Raw genomic sequence first — 18,611 nt, forward strand, 5'->3', positions numbered from 1 at the left:
AGCAGAGGAGGATTTTAATCAAGTGGATAGGATGACCCATTCTGTGGACACCAGTCAGCCTCTCTCCCACTAGCCACTCCTGTCATTGCCCAATTGGCTCATGAACACAGTGGCCATGTGGCAGGGATGGAGGTTGTGTTTGGGTTCAGCAATACAGACTTCCATTTACCAAGGCAGACCTGGCTACAGCCACTGTCACATGCCAGTCTGCTAGCAGCAGAGACCAACACTGAGTCCAAAAATGACACCACTCCCCAGGGTGATCAGCCAGCTACCTGGCGGTAGGTTGATTACTACCTTGGAACTTCTTCCATCACAGAAGGGGCAGTCTATTTCTTACTAAAATAGACTTAACTCTGGATATGGATATGCCTTCCCTGCATGTAATGCTTCTGCCAAAACCATCCATGGACTTACAGAAGTCTTATACACTGTCCTGGTATGCCACACAGCTTTGCTTCCAATAAGGAAAACATTTCACAGCAAAGGAAGTGCAGCAATGGGCCTATGCTCATGGCATTCACTGGTCTTACCATGTCCCCCACCATCTGAACAGCTGGTTTGACAGAATAATGAAATGGTCTTTTGAAGACGCAGTTACAGCACCAGCTAGGTGGTAGGATCTTGCAAGGTGGGGATAAGGTTCTCTAGAAGGCCGTATACACTCTGAATCAGTGTCCATTGTATGATGCTATTTCTCCCATAGCCAAGATCATCATCCAGGAGTCATTGGGGTGGAAATGGAAGTGGCACCCTCACTATTAGCCCTACTGACCCACTAGCAAAAATGTTGCTTCTGGTTTCTGCAACCTCATGCCCTCAGTCTCAGAAGGAGAAAGGCTTTCACCAAGAGACATAATGATTCCATTGAACTGGAAGTTAAGTCTGCTGTCTGGTTACTTTGGGCTCTTCAAGCCTCTTAATCAACAGGCAAAGAAGTGAGTTAATGCTCTGACCAGGGTGATTTGTCCCAACTACAAGGAGGACGTTGAACTGCTATGCCACAGTGGAAGTAAGGAAGAGTATGTCTGCAATACAGAAGAGCCCTTAGGGCATTTCAGGATTACCATGCAACGTGGTTAAGGTCAACAGAAAACTACAACAGCCCAATCCAGGCAACATTACACTACTAACATCTCAAAATCTTATAGAGTGAAGATTTGGATCACTTAACCAGGTAAAGAACCATTACCAGCTGAGGTGCTTGCTGAAAACAAAGGGAATACAAAAAGGGTAGTGGATAAAGGTAAATACTAGCTATGACCACATGGCCAGCTACAGAAACAAGGACTGTAGTTGTCATTAGTGTTTTCTCCTTATTTTGTTATGAACGTGTGTGACACACACACAGACACACACCTCAAATACCTTTGTTTTCTTTCTTATCATGTAAAAAAATACTGATTTTATATCATAGTATTTTTAAGTATTGTTAATTTTACATCATAATATTTAAGTTACAGGGTATCAAGGAGAAGAATAAACATCACCCAAGAACTTTTCTTTCTTTTCTGAGGAAAGGGTAGGTGCTTTTTTGGTTATGTAAGGTATAGTTGTATCATGTTAGGGAGAATTATAGCCTTGTTATTGTCTTTATTTGGAGATTAAATATGGTTTAATGAGATGCATTTGGGGGCTGACTTGACAAGGGGGAGACTTGTGATGGTTAATTTTATGTGTCAATTTGATTGGGTCAGGAGTGCCCAGATATTTGGTTAAACATTGTTCTGGGTGTGTGATAGATATTTGGTTAAACATTGTTCTGGGTGTGTCTGTGAGGGTGTTTCTGGATGAGATGAACATCTGAATCAGTAGACTAAGCAAAGCAGACTGCCCTCCTAATGTGGGTGGGCCTCATCCAAGCCTGAATAGAACATAAAGAAAGAGAAAAGAGCATTTACACTCTCTGCCTGACTGTGTGTGAGCTGGAACATTGGTCTTTTCCTGCCTTCAGACTTGTACTCAGACTGAATCTTATACCATTAGCTCTCTTGGTTCTTAGGCCTTTGGACTCACACTGGAACTAACACCATTGGCTTTCCTCAGTCTCCGGCCTTTGCACTTGGACTAGAATTCTATCATTGGCTCTCCTATGTCTCCACCTTGCCAAATGAAGATCTTGGGACTTCTCAGACTTCATAATCATGTGAGTTAATTTCATATAATGAATCTATCTATCTAACCTATTGGTTCTATTTATCTAGAGAATTCTTATTAATAAAGATTTATGAAGAACTAAGGATGTTAAATAAAGCTATAATTACAAAATAACAGTGAGAACAAAACCACAAACCTTTCTTAATATCAGTAGAATCACACACAGAAAGCAAAATAGAGAAAAACAGAAAAACAGAAAACAAAGCTTATAAAGATAAAAAATCTATAAATTCAGAAAACATAATATTGAATAATAAAACTAAGATTAAATATATCTTTCATATCAATAAGAGTAAGTAGGCTTAAACCAATTACAAAGAGATTTCAGATTAGTTTATTAAACCTATTCTACACTGTCTTCAAAGGATGCACTCTAGGATAAAGTATTTCAGAATGGCCAAAATGGGGGAATGACATTATCAGGCACATGGAAAAAAAAAGAGAGAGAGAAGGAGAGAATGTAAAGGTCACAGTCTAATATTACAGAATGTACAATTCATATTAACTGAGGTAAAGGAATGAACTTTATAATAATAAAGGTAATTCACAATAGTGATGTAACAGTAACGAAAATTTATGCTTCAAGCAATTAGAGAAGCTATAAGGAAAAACAGAAACTTACTAATAGAAGGAAACTTTAATTCACCTTTCTCAGGCCATGACAGATAAAGAGGAAAAAAGTAAGTCAGTCAGTCTAGATGACACAATGAATTAGGCAGATTTAATTATAAATATCATACACTGTATCCTGAAAAAAAGAGTACACATTCTGTTTAAGTGCCCATGATCACAGAAATTGATGATATATTAAGACTCAAAGAAAACTTAAATACATTACAAAAAGTAGAAGTGATATGGACAACATTCTGTGATCACTATGTAATACTAGAAATTAATAATTGAATTTAAAAATGAAAAACCAATAGCTCTTGGCTTTAACAATCTCACTTAAACAATTGTTGAACCAAAGAGAAAAATACAAAACTATAATTGCAAAGCATCTAACAAACAGTAATAAGAAAACTACAAATTGCTAAAACAATAGTGAGAGGAGAGGAAATAATACTTCCATTATAAACATGAAAGACTGAAAAAATGAATTTGACATTTAACTTTAGAGGTCAAAAAAGAAACAAAATAAAATAAAGGAGAATCAAGGTAAAAAATCAATAAAGATAAAAGCAGAATTTAAGAAGTTGGAGCACAAAAACTGAAAGCTGCTGCTTCGAAAAAAGTCAATAAACATAAATTACTAACTTAGTCAAGAAAAAAATATAAAAATGTGCTAGTAAAATGAGAAGGAATAAGAGAGGAAATTACCATAAAAATGAAAAAAAATCTTAATAAATTGGATAATTTTATACTCAAGCTTAGAAAAGACATAAAATCTAAGTAGCATAATTTTCATTAACAGAAACCCAGAAATTCATCAAAGAGCTACTGTCACCTCTTGCCCATTTTCCCTGGCCAAACACCAGGTTGAAATTGTTTCTCTGAGCAATTTTACAAGATCTTCAAAAATAATTCTAGATTAATTTTATAAAGCAAGCAGGACACTTATGGTAAAATCTGATGAAAACTATCTCCAATATCATATAGAATATTAAAGAAAACTCCTATATAAATCTAGCAGTACATTAAAAGAAAAATGTACCATTTCCAATAGGATTTATTACAAGTCTGCAAAGGAGGTTCAATGTTAGAAAATCTATTAATCTATTGATATCTACCAATTAGTAGGCATAAGGAAGAGAATCATATGATCACCCTTACCTTCATATATGCTAAAAAGATCTTTGACAAAATTTAATAACCATTCTTGATGAAATTCTTAAGAAAGTATTTATTAATGGATACATCTTTGAATGCTGAAATATAGTTATTTCACCTCCCAAATCAGTAGTACATTTCAGGGAGAAACACTAGGGCATCCCCACTCAGGAACAAGGCAAGAATGGTCCTATCATCACTATTATTTAACACTGTACCAGAAGTGCTAGCCAATGTGATTATGCAAGATAAAGAAATTAGAGATGTGAGAATTAACAAAGCAATAAAACTATCACTATATGTAAATCATATAACATATCTAGAAAATTCAAGGAGGTCAAATAAAAACTACTACAAACAAACAAAACATTTAGAAAATTAGCAAGGTACAAAATTCATATGCAAATTTTTTCATGTATACAATCAATATTCATTGAAAATATAATAGAAGAAGAAAAGACCCCATAGCGAGGTGATGAGCCTAAAAAGAAATGTTCAAGGCTGAGTATTCTACAGACTAAAACATTAAAACATTCTTTGAAAGATAAAAGGAAGTCATGAACAAACGGAAAGGCATTTTGGATAGGAAGAGTCAATATTATCAAGATGTCGAACTTCTCTAAGTTAATTTATAAATTTAATATGATTTCAATAAAAGTAAAATCTGGGTTTTTTTAGAACCAGACTAGACCAGAAATGATTTTAAAGTGTAGATGAAAGTAAGCCAGGCATGGTGATATGCACATGTAATCCCGGCTATTCCAAGGGAGAAGGATTGCTTGAGCCCAGGAGTTTGAGACCAGCCTGGGCAACAAAACAACAACCTGTCTCAAAAAACAGAAAAAGCTCATATGGAAATAGAAACAAAAAAATAGGAAATCTCTGCAAAAGAAAAGCACCAAAGGAAGATTTTTCTCTGTCAGATAAAGCCTCAGTGATTATTATTATAATGACATATGAATAGGCAAACAGACTAACACAACAGAATGTACAGTCAGAAATAGACCTAAATCCATACGGAGTTTTAGTATATAATAAATGTGGTATCTCAAATCAGTGAGAAAAAGAGGTGCTATCAACGAGTCATCTGGGAACTACCAGGAAGCCAGATGGAGAAAAAATGTGGTTTGATGTATGCCTCACACCCTAACCCACGGTAAATTTCAAATGGGCTAGGATTTTTCCTATAGATACAAACACATAAGAATGAAATGACATTTGGATATAATTCATTGAAGCACTGTTTATAATGTAACATATTGGAAACGATCTACAAGCTCACCAATAAGGGACTGGTTAAATACATTAATAGTATATCTATAAAATGGAATACTATAATTTTGTTTAAAAAAGCTTTTTTATCAATATATTATATCAAAATATCTCCATGCTATAGTAAGTGAAAAAAGCTCGAGCAGGAGGTAAAATGTGTACAGTTTCCTATTATCTGTAATTTGAAATGAGAAGAAAGATAATTATTTTTATTAGCTTTCAGATAAATACAAATTCTTATCAAGGATATGATAACCTAGATGTCACATTTGGCAGGTTTCCAAATTAATCCACCTGGGGGAGGTCTATGATTCATGGCTTACATCCTATCCTTGAGTAAAGAAACTTATCCTGAATCCCTGAAATCTTACAGTGGGTTCCTCAAACTGTTGATGTTCCATAACTAAGATGTAACTTAACTGATACTGAAAAGGACATTGATTGGTTTCTGAATGGTGAAGCTTTACTGATTGTCTTGCACATTGAAGATTCTAGCCTGTATGTTACAAAAGACAATTCCTGTATGAGAAGCCACTCTCCCTAAACTTCCCCATAGAAGCCTTCTTCTTCCTCTTCCTCCTCTTCTTTTTCTTCCTCTTCCTCCTCCTCTGCCACCACCGCCTCCTCCTTCTCCTTCTTCTTATTCCTTCTTTTTTTTTTTTTTTCAGACAGAGTCTCACCTTGTGGCCCAGACTGGAATACAGTGGTGCAAACATGGCTCACTGCAGCCTTGACCTCCTGGGCTCAAGCGATCTTCCCACCTCAGCCCCCTAAGTAGCTGGGACTACAGGTGTGCACCACTATGCCCAGCTAATTTTTGTATTTTGGTAGAGATGGGGTTTCTTCATGTTACCCAGGCTGGTCTTAAACTCCTGAGTTAAGCCATCCTCCTGACTCAGCCTCCCAAAGTGCTGGGATTACAGGTGTGAGCCATGGTGCCCAGCTACATTTTCATACTTTGTGTTTAAGCCAGGTAAATGAATACCTACTCAAACAATTTTGATACATGTTTTTAAGTGAAAAAAAAAAACTCCTAATCATAACTAAAGAGTGAAATAGGAAGGTTATGTAAACAATTTGCCAACTTGCAGAAATAAATTTCACTGGTAAATCTGTTCATAATTTTTGTATATACTTAAATATCACTTTAAGAGGAAAATGCATTTGTGATCTCTTCAGCCTAGGTCAAATTCTTCTGTCATATACTTATGACACTTATATCCATTTACTTATGACACATATCCATTTATACATATATCCATTTTGTACTTCCTTGGAGCACTCTTAATAATTAGTTAAATAATCAACTACCAAGAAATTAATCTTCCATCCTAGAATGAAAGCATCAAGAGGGCAGTGGCCAGGCCAGCCTTGCTGACTTCTATATCTCATAGTGTCTACACAGAGGATGCTCTACATTGGAGGAGGAGTTGGTGTTTCAAAATCTAAATGTTTTATTTCTAGTAAGAGGGTAAAAATAGCTATGGCCATCTCACTGCTACTTAGGTAGAGGGACTGAGGAGTACGCTTTCTGATCTTTCCACTGCTCTGCGGCTTCCTGCAGGTATTTTTGCTTTAAGAAAAGAGAGGGGAGTAAGAGCCCATTTGCCCGGGACAACTGAAGTCTCAAAAGCTGATGATGTCCTCTTGAATAAAGTTTTGGAATTTTTCCCATGTCCATTTCTCTTTTCTTCTTTTACTAAGAGAACACCCCATGCCCATCAAGTTTTGGCTAGATTAATGGCTACTCCAGTTACAGGTTACATTTTCCACATTCTCTTGAGAAGGCTTTGAGTTTGGGTTTAGCTTCTAGGTTTTATTTTATTTTTTGAGACAGGGTCATGCTCTGTCACCCAGGCTGGAATGCAGTGGTGTGATCATAGCTCATTGCAGCCTTGATCAGTGCTCAAGAGATCCTCCCACCTCAACTTCCCAAGTAGCTGGGACTACAGGCATGCATCACCACACCTGGCTAATTTATTTCATTTTTTATTTTAATTCTTGTAGAGAACGTATCTCCCTGTGTTGCCCAGGCTGGTCTTAAACTCTTGGGCTCAAGTGATCCTCTTGCCTTGACCTCCCGAAGTGCTGGAATTACAGATGTCAGCCACCCGCCGGGCCTAAGTTTTAGCAACGACTTCTGCTTTACGTTTTTCAAAATAAAGTTGTTTGCCCTTCATATTTTCTTTTGTTCCGTTCTGTGGCCTGGAATGTGGAACCAGTGAAGTTAATGATCACTGGAGAAAACACTTTTGACCTAGAGAGAAAAGCCAAATGTAGAAGATGGCAGAGTTGCCCCAGCAACCTGGGTATCTAGATGACTTTATGGAGCATGGCCCAGGTATTCATCTTGAATTGTGATATGAGAAAGAAGCTTCTAACACATTTAAGCCCTTGTACTTGGAGCTGCTTTTCCCCCCTTACAGTGGTTTAACTTATTCCCTAATCATGGCAACAAATACTAGTGGGGTTCTTAGTGGCAGGATCTGTTTTGTAGAGAACAAAAATCCACTCTAGCTAGTTTAAGAAGAAAGGGATTTATTGCAGCCGTTAGGGAGCTTATAAAACTTTTTGGAAGGCCAAGGAAACAATTTTGGATTATACACTGTCAGAAGTAATATAGTCAGCAGAAACATCTGGCTCACTACAGATTTATTCCAGAAGAAATCCCACTGTTGCCACTACCCTCTACAGAGCACAGCATCACTATTATCTATCTCCCTGGGTTATATGCTGGCTTGTTGATCTGCGAAGAGTATGGGAGCTGCCCATAGTGCTCTGCTGACTCGTCTCTCTGGATCATGCCACGGTGGGCTTGGGCCATGCCAGCGGAGACCCTGACTGTAGTTCTCTTTGCTTTCTCGCATTCACATCTCCTGTAAAGATGCTTTGTTTCAGTCTGTTGGAGTGTTCATTTGCTCTCACTGAATGGATGATTTCTTCTTTAGGAGTTCCTAGAAATGTGATGTTTCAAAAATTTTTGTTACAGGTTTAGCATGATAAAATGCTTTAAATGATAGATGTAATTTTCAGTAACAGAAGAGTCATACTGTCAGAATTCTGAGCCTAATTCCAGAATTGTCCTTGAAAGGACAAGATGTATTGTCAAGGAATGAGTTTAAGTAATAAAGTTGGCAAGTAGTCAACATAGATCAACTTTCCATTATTAACATTCTGAGCCATATGTGAAATGACTGGAAAACAGATCTTGGAGCCATAAGGCATTAAGACTTGTTCTTCCCTTCCTGTCAATTTAAACACAAAAAGCACTTTAGGAAACCAAAGACACATGCACATTCATAAAGGGAAAAGGATTGGAGTGAACCTTTCTATTTTGCCTCTAATGCTGGAATATTCTTTCACATTCTTTCCAATATTTTACTTAGTTTGAATCCAACTACTTTCTGTAATATTCAAGACTTTCCTCAAAAGCATTTCATTCTGGGTCAACAAGGTATGCCATCTAAATCAGATTTTCACATAACCAAGAACCATCTCTTTAGAGTTGAAAACCTTTTTCATCTTATTTTTGACATAAATCTTTTTGTAGTCCATACATTTTAACCTTACTTATTAAACAAAAGATGCTCTCCGTGGTTATCTCAATGAATAGTCATTACTAGATAATGCTTTCAGAGTGAAATTCCAGCTACTTTCCAAAATTCTTTTCACTTCCTGCAGTAATGATAATCACTTTTCACTGGGACTCCCTCAAATATTTTTATGTCCCATTCTCTCTTCAAATGTATTGTTTATAACTTATCAAGCTTAATTGAAATGTGCTAAGTAGAATCAAAAGGCTCTGCATGAGAGTTTAAAAGGTCACCTAGGAAATAAGGAATTTAGCCAGAGTGCTATAGCTTTGTCAAAGCCATTCCATCATGCTTTAAAAAAAATTCTGGATGCATATCTCTACACCAGAGAATTGAGGAGTATAGAAATCTGGCCTTCAGAAGAGAGTAGTTTTACTATCCTTTTAGATACAAACTTTTTAAAAATAAAACAGTTTTATTCAGGTATAATTCACATATAACAAGTCACGTATATTTAAAGTATACAATTTGATTAGTTTTGACATATATACACATTCACCAAACCATCATCACAATCAAGATAATGAACATGTCCATCACCCAAAAAAGTTTCCTCATTCCCCTCCATAATTTTAAAGTCCAGATGCCCAGGAAACTGCTGATCTAATTTATGCCACTCTAGATTAATTTGCATTTTCTAGAATTTTAAATGAATGGAATCACACAGTATGTATGCTTTTTTGACCTTTTAAATTTTACTCAGCATAATTCTGCTATAGCATATATCAACAATTCATTCTGCTTTATTGCTGAGAAGTATTCTATTACATAAGTGTAACCCAGCTGTTTATCTATTCATCTGTTTATAGACATTTGGGTTATTTTCAGCTTTTAGCTATTACAAGTAAAGCTGCGAAGAACTTTTATATACAAGTGTTTGTATGGTGTTAGGAACCAAAGAAACTTAGAAACTGTTTTCCAAAGTGGTTGTATCATTTTACATTCTCAGCAGCAGTGCCTGAGAATTCTAGTTCCTTTATATTGGTATGGTCAATCTTTTAAATTTTAGTGATTCTGACAATGAGTGGTGCTATCCATTGTGGTTTTAATTTGCATGTCTTTAATGACTAATAGTATTAAATATATTTTCATATGTTTGTTTTCTATTCATATTGTCTCCTGACGTGGTTTAGGTCTGTGTGCCCGACCAAAAATTGTGTCGAAGTGTAATCCCCAATATTGGAGGTGGGGCCTGGTGGCAGGTGATTTGATCATTGGGGTGGATTTCTTGTGAATGGTTTAGTACCATCCCGTTGGTGCTGTTCTCGTGATAGTGAGTTCCTGTGAGATCTGGTTATTTAAAAGTGTGTGGCACTTCCCCTCACTTCTCTTGTTCCTGCTCCCACCATGTGAGATGCCTCCAGCTGAGCCTCCCTGGAAGCCCAGCAGATACTAGCGTCATACTTCCTGTACAGCCTGCACAACTATGAGCCAATTAAACCTCTTTTCTTAATAAATTACCCAGTCTCATGTATTTCTTTATAGCAATGAGAAAACAGACTTATATATAATCTTTGGTGAGGAATCTGATCAAATCTTTTGCCCATTTTTTAATTAGTTCATTTGCCTTCTTACATTAAATCTTGAGAGTTATTTATATATTTTGGATACAAGTTTATTCAAATATATCATATAGATGATATATCAGATATATGATTTGCAAGTATTTTCTCTGTAGCTTGCATTTTCTTTCTTTCAAGAAATAGAAGTTTTTAACTTTGATGAATTTCAATATATCATATTTCCTCTATAGATCATGCTTTCAGTGCTGTGTCTAAGAAATCTTGGCCTAATCCAAAGCAGCAAAGATTTTCTTTCTATGTTTCCTTCTAGAAGTTCTATAGTTTTAGGTTTCAGGTTTAGGTCTATGATCCATTTTTGGTGAATTTGTGTAAATGGTGTTAAGGAATGGATTGAGGTTCCTTTTCTTCAACTTTTGCTAAAAAGACTTGAAATTAGTTGTTCAAAAATTGGTGGGTGTACTTCTGGGCGCTCCATTTTTTTCTACTGATTCATTTCTTTATCTTTGCACTAGTACCACTAGTCTTGCTTACTTTAGCATTATAATAAACCTTAAAATCAGGTAGTGTTAGTCCTCTAACTTTGTTCTTTTTCAACATTGTTTTGGCTATTCTAGGTCTTTGCATTTCAAAGTAAATTTTATAATTGTTTTTATCAATACCTACAAAAGAGACTTTCAGGATTATGATCGGAATTTCATTAAATCTATACATTAATGGAGGGGGCAGGGTGAATTTTCTGACCCATGAGCAAGACATTTCTATTTATTTATTAGTTAGTTTTTGTTTTGTTTTTGAGACAGAGTCTCGCTCTGTCGCCTAGGCTGGAGTATAGTGGTACGATCTTGGCTTACTGCAACCTCTGCCTCCCAAGTTCAAAGCATCCTCATGCCTCAGCCTCTTGAGTAGCTGAGATTACAGGCATGTGCCATTACACCTGGTTAATTTTTGTATTTTTAGTAGAGATGGGATTTTGCCATATTGGCCAGCCTGGTCTCGAACTCCTGGCCTTAACTGATCTGCCTGCCTTGGCCTCCCAAAGTGCTGAAATTACAGGCATGAGCCACTGCACTCAGCCCATATCTCTCTATTTAGGCTTTCTTTAATTTCTCTCACCACTATTTTGTAGTTTTCAATGTGCAAGTCTTTCACAACCTTTGTTAGTTCATGTTTTCTGCTGCTATTGTAAATAATATTTTTACTAGTATGTAGAGATACTTTTGTATATTGATCTTGTGTCTTGTGACCTTGCTAAAGTCATTAGTTCTAGTAAGTTTCTTTGTAGATTTCCATGGATTTTCTACGTAGATTATCATGTCTGTGAATTGTTGTTCCTTCCTACTTAGTCTGTCTGCCTGTTACTCTTTTTCTTGCCTCATTGCAATGGCTAGAACATCTAACCCAATGTTGAACAGAAGTGGAAGAAGTGGACATTGTGATCTTGTTTTTGATATTAGGAGGAAAGTACTCTCTGTAGAGGGAGAATATTTGGAGCTTACCTCCAGCCTCTCCAGATCCTTTTCTTTGAAGCTTTTGACTGTAACACATATCCTTTAATGCTGTCACTATGATGTATCCTTTTTTATATAGCTAACAATTTTCCTTTCGTCTGAAGGACACCTTTTAGCATTTACTGTAGTGCTGATGATCCACTGATGATGAATTCTTTCAGTTTTTTATATCTAGAAAGTCTTTATTTCACCTTTGTTTTTTAAAGATTTTTTTCTGGGTATAGAATTCTAAATATAGAATTTTAGGTTGACTTTTTTTTCTTTCAGTAATTTAACGATGTTGCCTCACAGTGAATTCATTTGCAATTTCCAATAAAAATTATACTGTCATCCTTATCTTTGTTCCTCCACATGTATCATGTCTTTCTTCTTTGGCTGCTTTTTATGATTTTCTCTTTATCATTGGTTTTGAGCACCTTGATTATGATGCACATGGGTGTAGTTTTCTTCATGTTTCCTATGCTTGGGGTTTGTTGAGCTTCCTGAGTCTATGAGTTTTGAGTTTTCATCAAATTTGGAAAATGTATTTTTAAGAGTTTATTTTTCTATTTCCTCTTTTCTCTTCTCCTTTGGAGACTCATTACACACACATTAGGATGTTTGAAATTGTCCCACAGCTCACTGATGCCCTTTCCTCTTTTTAATTCTCTTCTCTCTGTGCCTCATTTAGGATCATTTCTATTGCTATGTCTTCAAATTCACTACTCTTTTATTCTTCAATGTCTAATCTTCTGTGAGTCCACTGCAGCTTTTATCTTTAGAGTTCAATGTGTTTTGTTTTAATTTTGTTTTTCAAAATATCTTTCATGTTTCACCTTAACTTTATAAACATATAAAATGTAATTCTGATAACTTTAGTGTCCTTGTCTAATAATTCTAACATTGTATAAATTCTGAGTTGTTTCAATTGGGTGATAAGTTTTCCAAATACGGTTTGGATTTTCTTGTTTCTTTGACTTGTAACTTTTAACCGACTACCAGGCATTGTAAATTTTGTTTCATTGGGTGCTGGATATTTCTGTACTCCTACAAGTATTCTTGAGCTTTGTTCTGAGATGGTTGGAAACAGTTTTATCCTTTCAGGTTTGTTAGGCTGGCCCAGAGCAATACTCAGTGGAGAGCTACTTATTCTCCAGTGAGGCAAGACCCTACTGTGCACTGTAGCAAATGTCCTGTGAATTATGGGGTTTTCCAGTCTGGATGGTGGGAATGGGCATTACTCTCAGCCTTGTGTGAGCATTGGGCACCGGTTCCTCTAATATGTTTAGGGATTTCTTTCCTGAGCTTCACCCAGTTTCCTCACAGGCAAGTGGTAATCTGTACTCATCTGAATACTTGAGAGGAACCCTTTGTAGATCTCTGAAGTTCTCTCTCTTTGCAGGTCTCTGCTCTCCAGTACTCTGTCCTATGACTCTGGCCATCTTAGTCTCCCTGGACTCTCAGCTCTGTCTCCTCAACTCAGAGCCCACTGCACTCTCCTGCATTTCCCCTCTTAGCACTTCATCCTGGAAATTCCCTCAAGACAGTAAGCTGGGGCAACTGTAGGGCTCATCTTGCTTGTTTCCTGTCTCTTGGGGTTACTGTCTTTTTTTCCCCAATGTCCAGCATCCTGAGAACTATTGTGTCCTGTATGTTGTATGTTGTCCTTTTTCTAATTAATTAATTTTTTTTTTTTGGTTGTCACAGGTAGTAAGAAGAATCTGGTTCCTGTTACTCCATCTTGATTAGAAATAGAAATTCCCACAATCTATTTTGACCCCTGTTTTATAGCTTCAAGGTAATGTAAGTAATACAATTTTTAAATAAATGGTGTCATTGATCAAGATTTTTAGTCAAATTTTGCTATTCTCATTCTCTTTTTTTGTTTTTTTTTCGTTTTGTTTTTGAGACGGTGTCTCGCACTGTCGCCTGGGCTGGAGTGCAGTGGTGCTATCTCGGCTCGCTGCAGCCTCCGCCTCCTAGGTTCAAGCGATTCTCCTGTCTCAGCCTCCCAAGTAGCTGGGATTACAGCTGCCAGCTACCATGCCTGGCTAATTTTTTGTATTTTTAGTAGAGACGGGGTTTTACTATGTTGACCAGGTGGGTCCCGAACTCCTGACCTTGTGATCCACCTGCCTCGGCCTCCCAAAGTGTTGGAATTACAGGAATAAGCCACCATGCCCAGCCTATTTTTCTTATATTATGTCATTCAGGGACTGTGTCCTTTGATTCTAACCAATGCAGGATTTTTTTTATCCATATGTATCGAACAAGGTCAATAATAAAAGAAATGATTGAATTTGCATTGGAAAATAAATATTTCCTTCTCCTCATACTTCTTGGAGAATGTTTTAACAGTCTCCAGCCAAAGTTTGAAACTTCTTAATTTAAAACTTTTTCTTTTCACTCATTCTCAGTTTTTGTGGAGAAGTAGCAAATAGGCTTCCACTCATGTACCAACCCTCACTAATTTGGTGCTTTGGGTTTTTTTTTTTTTTTGAGACAGGGTCTCACTCTGTCACCTAGGCTAGAGTGCAGTAACTTGATCACAGCTCACTGCAACCTTTACCTACCTGGTCCCTGACTTATTTTTTATGGCCACCAGATGCTGTATGTTCTATATTTTTTTAGTACTATTTCTACCTTTTTATATTAATTTTTTTTAAATTTCTGAATTATAACTTTTTCTGGTATGAGAGATAATAGTTACTTTTCAGTGAATAGCCAATTGTCTAGCAATAATTATTAAATTGATGTAAATGTCAATTTTATCATATGGTGAAATCCCATAGATATGGCTATTTTGTTTTTAAACTCTTCTCTGTTCTACTGTTCCTCTTTTATGTAGTCAAAACTATATTGATAGTAATGATAAAAATGGCTTTAGAGTTATAATGTCTAGATTAGAATTATATTTTCATTGTTTACTGGCTATTTAATTTTTTGCAAATGTATCTTTTCTAGGCCTCAGTTTCTTCCTCTAAGTATTAGGTCTTAAAAATGCTATCTACTTCATAAGGTTTGGAAGATAATTAAATGACATCAGGTATGTAAAACATAGCACAGTGTCCAGCACACAGTAAGCCTTCAATAAATGTCATTAAAAACAATAATAGTAATAAAGCTTTATAGTGTGTTTTCATACCTAGTAGGTAAGTCCTCTCATGTTATACTTTTTCAAAAAAAAATTTATTTGCTTGTTTCACCTGTTACCAACCCCATTGCCTCTGTGTTAAGTAAGAGTGACTCTCCAAGATCCACCACAAGATTGCAGGAGAAATGCAGAATGGTGGGAACAGATCTTCCAGAGTCACTTTGTTACTAACATTCAGTCAACTGTAGGGAGGAGAGTGGAAGGGACAAATATAGTCTTTCTGTGATCGGTATGCCTTCTCTCACTCAAACAACACAGCTCACAATGATTAGCAACAGTTCTAGAAAAAAGTGGCCTTTTTTTTGACACGTCTTTTCAGAGAATGCTTTCTTGCTACTTCTCCCCAGCTTTGCAGTTAAATAATTACATTCTTCAGAAATCCTCTTGCTTCTATAAACTAAAAATAAAATCCTAAGTCCCTCAAACTGACTGGATGGACCCTGCCCCCTTGGCCAAGGGGACTCCGGAGAAACCTTACAAATTTAGTTCCCAGCCATGACAGGATGGGAGGCCCGACACCCCTTGTTACACCCGCCTCCTTTTGTGGTTTAGACACAACTGACCAGCAGTAATGTCAAAATAGATATCATATGACTGACAGAATGGACTTTTTGTGGAAATAAGATACCAGATTATAAATAGGACCTAAGGCCATGCCAGAGAAAGATTAAATCATACACCCTACAGTTAAAGAATAAACTACGTGCAAAGTGCTACAAGGTTTTTCTTTTTCTCTAGAAGCTAAACAAGCACTGGCCTTGAAATAAACAATATTAAAACAATTGCAACTCACCACCAGATGCTCACTAACTGACACCCTGTTCCACGAGCCTTGATTGGACAACAGACTGATTTCTGTAACTTTCTTCTGATGAGAGATCACTTATTATGAACTGGTTCTGGTGGGTTTTACAGAGACTGCACACTGGAATGCCTTCGTGTCCCTGCTTCACCTTTTGGCCTAGCTGTAATACATTTAAATGTTAATCTTCCACCCCTAAGTGAACATGGGTGGTGTGTAATATGCATGAGGACCACCTTCATGAATATTAATAGCTCCTCCTGTAACCTGTTGAATATGTATACTTGGCCAACCCATTCAAAAGGAATCCCTGTTCCATCCGCCTCTGCCTCAAAGTGCTTTTTTTAGATGGTGGTTGTGCTTCCTGCCTGGAGGTTGTAATCTCCTTCTTAAGAAATAAAGCTCATAAGCTCATCCAACTGAATGATGAGGAACCAAAAAAGAAAAAAAGGAAATAAATCTCTCTTTTTCTAAATTTATACATTGTTATACATAGTGATTTTTAAGTTAATACTTCTTATCATCCCTTTACTCTCATCATGTTTAGCACAAACTAGCCATTGTCTGTTCTGTCATTGCAGAATTACATACTATACTGAATAATTTGGAGAGAAATTTACCTCACCAGATCCTAGCTAGGAATAGGCACGTCTGTCCATTTATTTATTTTGTTCCTTAGCAAAGGTTTTTTTTTGTTGTTGTTGTTTTGTTTGTTTTTACTTTAAGTTTTGGGATACATGTGCAGAATGTGCAGGTTTGTTACATAGGTATACATGTGCCATGGTTGTTTGCTGCACTTAACCCATCATCTAGGTTTTAAGCCCCATATGCATTAGGTATTTGTCCTAATGCCCTCCCTCCCCTTGCCCCCACCCCCCAACAGGCCCCAGTGTGTGATGGTCCCCTCTCTGTGTCCATGTGTTCTCATTGTCCAACTCCCACTTATGAGTGAGAACATGCAGTGTTTGGTTTTCTGTTCCTGTGTTAGTTTGCTAAGAATGATGGTTTCCAGCTTCATCTATGTCCCTGAAAAGGACATGAACTCATTCTTTTTTATGGCTGCATAGTATTCCATGATGTATATGTGCCACGTTTTCTTTATCCAGTCTATCATTGATGGGCATTTGGGTTGGTTCCAAGTCTTTGCTATTGTAAATAGTGCTGCAGTAAGCATATGTGTGTGTGTGTCTTTATAGTAGAATGATTTATAATCCTTTGTGGGTATATACCCAGTAATGGGATTGCTAGGTCAAATGGTATTCCTGGTTCTAGATCCTTGAGGAATTGCCACACTGTCTTCCACAATGGTTGAACTAATTTACACTCCCACCAACGGTGTAAAAACTTCCTATTTCTCCACAGCCTTGCCAGCCCTTAGCAAAGTTTTAATAGTGCTCTAACTTCCCTTATCCCTTCCTTTCTCTCTCTCTTTCTTCTTTATTTCCTTTCTTCCATGTTATATAGAGTTAAATATTTTTTAATTTTTGTGGGTACATACTAAGCATATATATTTATGAGGTACATGAGATGTTTTGATGCAGGCATGCAATGTGAAATAAGCACTTCATGGAGAATAAAATACCCATCCCCGAAGCATTTATCCTTTGAGTTACAAATAATCCAGTTATACACTTTAAGTTATTTTTAAAATGTACAGTTGTTATTGTTGACTATATTCACCCTTCTGTGCTATCAAATACTAGATCTTATTAATTCTTTCTATTTTTTGTACCCGTTAACCATCCCTACCTACCCCCGGCCCAACCTCCCACTACCCTTCCTAGCCTCTGATAACCATCCTTCTACTCTTTATGTCCATGAGTTAAATTGATTTGATTTTTAGATCCCACAAATAAGTGAGAACATGTGATGTTTGTCTTTCTGTGCCTGGTTTATTTTACTTAACATAATCACCTCCAGTTCCATTCATGTTGCTGCAGATGATTAGATCTCATTCTTTCTATGGCTAAACAGTACTCCATTGTGCATATGTACCACATTTTCTTTATCCATTCACCTATTGATGGACACTTCGGTTGCTTCCAAATATTAGCTATTGTAAACAGTGCTGCAACAAACATAAGAGTGGAGATATCTCTTCAATATACTAATTTCCTTTCTTTTGGGTATATACCCAGTAATGGGATTGCTGGATCATATGATAGCTCCATTTTTAGTGTTTTGAGGAACCTCCAAACTGTTCTCCATAGTGGTTGTACTAATTTACATTCTCACCAACAGTGTACAATGGTTCCCTTTTCTCCACATCCTCACCAGCATTTGTTATTGCCTGTCTTTTGGATATAAGCCATTTTAACTCAGGTGAGATGATTTCTCATTATAGTTTTGATTTGCATTTCTCTGATGGTCAGTGCTGCTGAGCAGTTTTTCATATGCCTTTTGCTCATTTTTTATTGGGTGATTAAATTTTTCCCATATAGTTGTTTGAGCTCCTTACAGATTCTGATTATTATTCCTTGTCAGATGGGTAGTTTGCAAATATTTTCTCCCATTCTGTGGTTGTCTTTTTATTAATTGTATCCTTTGCTGTACAGAAGATTTTTAACTTGATATGATCCCATTTGTCTAATTTTGCTTTAGCTCCCTGTGTTTGTGGGGCATTGCTTAAGAAATCTTTGCCCAGACCAATGTCTAGGAGATATCCCCCAATGTTTTCCCATAGTAGTTTCATAGTTTGAAGTCTTATATTTATAAGCATTTAATCCATTTTGATTTGATTTTTGTATATGGAAAGATAGAGGTCTAGTTTCATTCTTTGGCATATGGATATCCAGTTTTCCCAAAATCATTTACTGAAGATACTATCTTTTTCCCAGTGTATGTTCTTGGCAC

General features: G+C 36.6%; 1 long non-coding RNA gene across 2 annotated transcripts in view; it reads right to left on the reverse strand.

The window, feature by feature from the left end:
• Window positions 1-7,720: 7,720 nt before the first annotated feature.
• Window positions 7,721-18,611, reverse strand: part of LINC02795 (long intergenic non-protein coding RNA 2795) — a 30,895-nt gene continuing 20,004 nt past the window's right edge. For both annotated transcript variants that reach the window (NR_187380.1, NR_187379.1), the window contains one exon: window positions 7,721-8,153. This is a non-coding gene — a long non-coding RNA (long intergenic non-protein coding RNA 2795). The remainder of the gene's footprint in view (window positions 8,154-18,611) is intronic.

This window comes from Homo sapiens, chromosome 1 (genome assembly GCF_000001405.40).
Source record: "Homo sapiens chromosome 1, GRCh38.p14 Primary Assembly".
NCBI lineage: Eukaryota > Metazoa > Chordata > Mammalia > Primates > Hominidae > Homo > Homo sapiens.